Below are 7,122 nucleotides of genomic sequence, written 5' to 3' on the forward strand. Positions count from 1 at the left end.
TCGAGGCAGGCGGATCACTTGAGTTCAGGAGTTTGAGACCAGCCTGGCCAACATGGTGAAACCAAACCCCACCTCCACTAAAAATACAAAAAAATTAGCTTGGTGTTGTGGCGGGCACCTATAATCCCAGCTATTTAGGAGGCTGAGGCAGGAGAATTGCTTAAACCTGGGAGGCAGAGGTTGCAGTGAGCCGAGATCATGCCACTGCACTCCAGCCTGGGCAACAGAGTGAGACTCTGTCTCAAAAAAAAAAAAAAAAAAAAAAAAAGCAGAGTGAAGTCAGCACCCAATTCAACATGGCAGGTTCTAGAGAGGTTCAAATCATGATGGGGCAGGGTGCGATGAGGGGAGGTCCCTTCTGTTACAGGCTACTGTTAGTCCACACTTCGTCTGACCTAGTGGCCTTCTGTGCATGGCGGCCACCCAGCATAGATTTTGATGATTTCCCATGTCACAAGCCCTGTCTTCACAAGGTGAGCTTCTGCAGCCTCCCTGTGGCTAAGATGCAGGCACATCACACCTGTGTATGGCTCAGGTTCAGAAGTGAGCAAAAGGTGCATGGATGGGATTTCAGAGAAGGCAGCAGGGATTTGTCTGGTAACAATTACTATATACTACATAGCTCACACTTAGTGGAGAAAAATGACAAAATAGCCCGGTGCAGTGGCTTATGCCTCTAAGCACGGTGGCTCATGCCTGTAATCCCAACAACTTGGGAGGCTGAGATGGGAGGATTGCTTGAGACCAGGAGTTTGTGACTAGCAAGATCCTGTCTTAAAACATTAAAAAAAAAAAAAAAAAAGCTGGGGATGGTGGCACATGCCTGTTGTCCCAACTACTTGGGAGGCTGAGGCAGGAGAATCACTGGAACTGAGGAGTTCAAGGCTGCAGTGAGCTGTGATAGCACCACTGCACTGTTGTCTGGGCAGCCAGGCAGGACCCTGTCAAAAAGAAAGAATGAAAGAAAAGAAAGACAAAAGAAAGAAATGAAAAGCCAAAGAAAGAAAAGAAAGATGAAAGAAAGAAAGAAAAGAAAGATGAAAGAAAACAAGAGAGAGAGAGAAAGAGAAAGAAAAAGAAAGAAAGAAAAAGAAAGAGGAAGAAAGAAAAAGCAGGAAGGAAGGAAAATAGGAAATGACATTATATTAACTCATGAATTCTTTTTTTTTTTTTTTTTTTGAGATGAAGCCTCACTCCATCACCCAGGCTGGAGTGCCGTGGCACAATCTCAGTCACTGCAACCTCCGCCTCAAGCAATTCTCATGCCTCAGCCTTCCGAGTAGCTGGGATTACAGGTGCACACCACCATGCCCAGTTAATTTTTTTGTATTTTTAGTAGAGATGGGGTTTCACCATGTTGGCCAGGCTGGTCTCAAAGTCCTGATCTCAGATGATCTGCCTGCCTCGGCCTCCCAAAGTGCTGGGAGAATTCTACTTTTTTTTTTGAGACAGGGTCTCACTCTTACCCAGGCTGGAGTGCAGTGGCGTCATCACGGTTCCCTGCAGGCTCAAGCGATCCTCCTATCTCAGCCTCACAAGTAGCTGGGTCTACAGGCACACACCACCACACCTGGCTAATATTTGTATTTTTTGGTAGAGATGGGGTTTCATCATGTTGCCCAGACTGGTCTCAAACTCCTGATCCCAAGTGATTCTCCCACCTCTGCCTCCCAAAGTGTTAGAATTACAGGTGTGGGCCACCGTGCCTGGCCTGAACTCACGAATTCTATAGGTTGTGAATTCAGACAGGGCCTGTGAGAAGTTTGTCTTTGCTCTGTGGTATCTGGCCTTTACTTGGAAAGGCTTGAATGCTGGCGGTGATTTGGATGCCTGGGGGCTGGGGTTGCCTGGAAGCTTCTTTACTCTGTGTCTGAAGCCTGGTTGATGGGTGCCTCTCTCCATGGGGCTAGGGCTTCTCACAGCTTGGCAGCTGGATTCCCAGAGAGGACATTGCAGGGAGAGTCTGGAGAGCAAATGTGCCAAGAAAGTCAGCTGGAAGCCACATGGCCTTTTATGACTTAACCTCAGAAATCAAGCTGGGTGCGGTGACTGCTGGATGCGGTGGCTCAAGCCTGTAATCCCAGCCCTTTGAGAGGCTGAGTTGGGCGGATCATTTGAGACCAGGAGTTTGACACCAGCCTGGCCAACATGGTGAAACTCTGTCTCTACTAAAAATACAAAAATTAGCTGGGTGTGGTGGTGCGTGCCTATAATCCCAGCACTTTGCGAGGCTGAGGCGGGCAGATCACTTGAGGCCAGGAGTTTGACGCCAGCCTGGTCAAGATGGTGAAACTCTGTCTCTGCTAAAAATACAAAAATTAGCCAGGCGTGCTGGTGCATGTCTACAGTCTCAGCTACTCGGGAGCTGAAGCATGAGAATTGCTTGAACCCAGGAGGCAGAGGTTGCAGTGAGCCGAGATTGTGCCACTGCACTCCAGCCTGGGCAACGGAGCAAGACTCCATCTCAAAACAACACACAAAAAAAGAAATCATAGGGATGTCACCTGCATGGTATTCTCTGGGTTGAAACAGGTGCAACCCCAGCTTGAGTTAGGGGAGGGGGCTGATATAGTCTGAATATTTGTCCCCTCTAAATCTCGTGTTGAAATGTGATCCCCAATATTGGAGATGAGGCCAAGTGGGAGGTGTTTGGGTCATGGGGGCAGATGCCTCATGAATGGCTTGGTGCCCTCCCTGTGGTAATGAGTGAATTCTTGCTCTATTCACATGAGAGCTGGATCTTTAGAAGAACCTGGCATGTCTGTTGCTCACCACGTGATCTTGTCGGCCCGCCTTCATCTTCCACTATGATAGGAGGCTTCCTGCGGTCCTCACTAGCAGCAGATGCTGGCACCATGCTTCTTGCACAGCCTGCAGAACCACGAGCCAAATACACCTCTTTCCTTTATAAATCACCCAGCCTCAGGTATTCCTTTATAGCAACAAAAATAGATTAAGACAGGGTCATAGACCCTGCTTCTTGATGGAGGAGTGACAAAGTTACTTTGTGGAAGAGCATGTTGGATGAAGTTACTATTGCAGCCATTTTGGGAAAATACAACTCGCCATTTAGAAACGTGAAGTCCTGGAGAAGGTGTGGCTGTGGAAGCTGCCACAGCTTCATTTTCTTTCTGCCTGCCTGCCTGCCTGCCTGCCTCTCTCCCTCTCTCTCTCTTTTTTTTTTGAGACAGAGTCTCGCTCTGTTGCCCAGGCTGGAGTTCAGTGGTGTGATCCTGGCTCACTGCAATCTCCGCTTCCTGGATTCAAGTGATTCTCATGCCTTAGCCTCCCAAGTAGCTGGGACTACAGGCGCCCACCACCACACCCAGCTAATTTTTGTATAGTAGAGATGGGGGTTCACCATGTTGGCTAGGCTGGTCTCGAACTCCTGACCTTAAGTGATCCACCCACCTCAGCCTCCCAAAGTGCTGGGATTACAGGCGTCAGCCACTGTGCCTGGCCCACAGCTTCATTTTCTTATCAGGCCAGTTCTGCCCCACGGTGCTGGGTAAGGGTCCTAGAACTTTAAGCCTAGACTTTATTTCTTCAGCTTTCCAAAAGATCCTGTTCTCTTTTCAATGTTTTAAAATTAAGCTTTTTGGCCAGGTACTATAGCTCATGTCTGTAATCTCTGCACTTTGGGAGGCCAAGGTGGGAGGATCGCTCGAGGCCAGGAGTTTGTGACAAGTTTGGCCAATACAGTGAAACCTTGTCTCTATAAAATAAATAAATAAAATAAGGCTTGTTATCTTAAGATAATTGTAGATTCACTTGCAATTGTAAGAGATTATTACCCAGAGAGCCCTCGTGCCCTTCATGCAATTTCCCCCAACGGTAACAGCTTGCAAAACTAGAGTACAATCTCACAACCAGGAAATTGCCTTCAATACCATCCACTGAACTTACCCAGGTTCTATCAGTTTTACATGTAATTGTGTGTGTGTGTTTAGTTCCATGCAATTTACTCAGTGCTCTAAAAATAGACTCTTCATCTTACAATGTTTTTAAATTTACAGAAAAATTGTTAAGACAGTAGGATTCTCATATATCCTGTACCATTTCCCCCTTTTATTAACATCTTGCACTGGTATAGTATATTTGTTACCGTTAATGAACTGAAGTTAATACATTGTAATTAACTGAAGTCCATACTTTAGTTAGACCTCCTTAATTTTTACCAATTTCCTTTTTCTTTTCTTTTTCTTTTTTTTTTTTTTTTTTTTGAGACAGAGTTTCACTCTTGTTGCCCAGGCTGGAGTGCAATGGCGCAATCTTGGCTCACTGCAACCTCCGTCTCCCCGGTTCAAGGGATTCTCCTGCCTCAGCCTCCCGAGTAGCTGGGATTACAGGCATGCGCCACCACCCCGGCCAATTTTGTATTTTTAGTAGAGACGGGGGTTTCTCCATGTTGGTCAGGCTGGTCTTGAACTCCCGACCTCAGGTGATCCACCCACCTCAGCCTCCCAAAGTGATGGGATTATAGGTGTGAGCCACCGTGCCCGGCCCAATTTCCTTTTTCTGTCCGAAGATCCCATCCATGACACCATGTGACATTTAGTAGTAATGTCTTCTTAGGCTCCTCTTGGCTGTGATAGTTTACAAAAAAAAAATTAATTTTCTTTGAGACAGTCTCACTCTGTCACTCAGGCTGGAGAGTAGTGGTGTGATCATAGCTCACTGCAGCCTCAATCTCCTGGGCTCAAGTGATCCTCCCTCCTCAGCCTCCCATATTTTTAATACAGACAGGGTTTCACCATGTTGGCTAGGCTGGTCTTGAACTCCTGACCGCAGGTGATCTGACCTCAGGTGATCTGCCCGCCTCGGACTCCCAAAGTGCTGGGATTACTGGTAGGAGCCACCACACTTGGCCAGTTTACTTGATATTTTAAAAATAAATTCCTCTGCTATGTAAACTGACCAGAATGGATTCTGTTGATTGCAACTAAGACCCATAACTGATACAGTTGGCATTCAAGCCTCACGCTGGCTAATTTTGTGTGTGTGTGTGTGTGTGTGTGTGTGTGTGTGTGTGTGTGTGTGGTAGAAATGGAGTCTTGCTATGTTGCCCAGGCTGGTCTCAAACTCCTGGCCTCAAGTGATCCTCCTGCCTTGGCTTCCGAAGAGCTGGGATGACGGTGTGAGCCACCACACCTGGTCAGTTTATTTGACATATTAAAAATAAATTTGTGGCTAGGCGAGGTGGCTCACACCTGTAATCCCAGCACTTTGGGAGGCCAAGGCGGGTGGATCACTTGAGGTCAGGAGTTCGAGACCAGCCTGGCCAATATGGTGAAACCCCATCTCTACTAAAAATACAAAAATTAGCTGGATGTGGTGGCACACGCCTGTAATTTCAGCTACTTGGGAGGCTGAGGTGGGAGAATAGCTTGTACCCTGGAGGCGGAGGTTGCGGTGAGCCAAGATCGTGCCACTGCACTCCAGCCTGGGCAATAGAGCAAGAATTCGTCTCAATAAATAAATAAATAAATTCATTCATTCATTTCTTTGCTATGTAGACTGACCAGAGTAGATTCTGTTGCTTGCAGCTAAGACCCATAACTGATGTACTTGGCATTCAAGGCTCACTGTGGTGTGGTCTTTGCTTACATCTCTGGTCCCATCTGCCACTATTCCCAGCCTAGTACTTTACCTTCCAGTGAGAGATCTCTCTCCTTCTTCCATACTCTCTCATGGCCTCTGACTCTTGTACAGGCTGACAGATCCATATTTATTTCACCTCTGTCATCACCTCCTCTGGGAAGCTTTCTGTGATTTTTCCCAGCAGCGTGGGGTGCCTGCCTCTCACCTGTATGTCCACAGTTCTTCGGGGCAGGGCCATATGCTCGTTAAAATCATGGTTTCTGGCCAGGTATGGTGGCTTATGCCTGTAATCTCAGCACTTTGGGAGGCCAAGCGGGCGGATCACTTTGAAGTCAGGTGTTCAAGACCAGACTGGCCAATATGGCAAAACCCCTCTACTAAAAATACAAAAATTAGCTGGGTGTGGTGGTTTATGCTTGTAATCCCAGCTACTTGGGAGGCTGAGGCAGGCAAATCACTTGATCACTTGAACCTAGGTGGTGGAGGTTGCAGTGAGTGGAGATTGTACCACTACACTACAGCCTGGGCAACAGAGACTGTCTCAAAAAAAAAAAAAAAAAAAAGGCCGGGCGCTGTGGCTCACGCCTGTAATCCCAGCAGTTTGGGAGGCCTAGGCGGGCAGATCACAAGGTCAGGAGATCGAGACCATCCTGGCTAACACAGTGAAACCCCGTCTCTACTAAAAAATACAAAAAATTAGCTGGGCGTGGTGGCGGGCGCCTGTAGTCCCAGCTACTCTGGAGGCTGAGGCAGGAGAATGGCGTGAACCCAGGAGGCAGAGCTTGCAGTGAGCCGAGATCGTGCCACTGCACTCCAGCCTGGGCAACAGAGCGAGACTCTGCCTCAAAAGAAAAAAAAACACAAAAAACAACAACAAAAAAAAAAACAAAAAAAGGCCGGGGGGGTGGTGGCTCATGCCTGTAATCTCAGCACTTTGGGAGGCTGAGGCGAACAGATCATGAGGTCAGGAGTTTGAGACCAGCCTGGCCAACATGGTGAAACCTTGTCTCTACTAAAAATACAAAAATTAGCCAGGTGTGGTGGCGGGAACCTGTAATCCCAGCTACTTGGGAGGCTGAGGCAGGAGAATCGCTTGAACCTGGGAGGCAGAGGTTGCAGTGAGCTGAGATCGTCCCATTACACTCCGGCCTGGGTGACAAGAGCAGGACTCCGTTTCAAAAAAAAAAAAAAAATCGTGGTCTCTGATGTCAGACATAGCTGAGTTCTGACACTGCCTTCTTCTAGCTGTGTGGTTTTAGGCATGTTGTTTATTTTTTATTTATATTTTTATCTTATTTTATGATTATTTTTCTTATTATTTTTTGACAGAGTCTCACTCTGTCGCCCAGGCTGGAGTGCAGTGGCGTGATCTCAGCTCACTGCAACCTCCGCCTCCCAGGTTCAAGCAATTCTCCTGCCTCAGCCTCCTGAGTAGCTGGGACTACAGGCGCATGCCACCACACCCAGCTAATTTTTGTATTTATAGTAGAGACGGGGTTTCACCATGTTGGCCAGGCTGAT

The sequence above is a fragment of the Homo sapiens genome, chromosome 7, assembly GCF_000001405.40.
Source record: "Homo sapiens chromosome 7, GRCh38.p14 Primary Assembly".
NCBI lineage: Eukaryota > Metazoa > Chordata > Mammalia > Primates > Hominidae > Homo > Homo sapiens.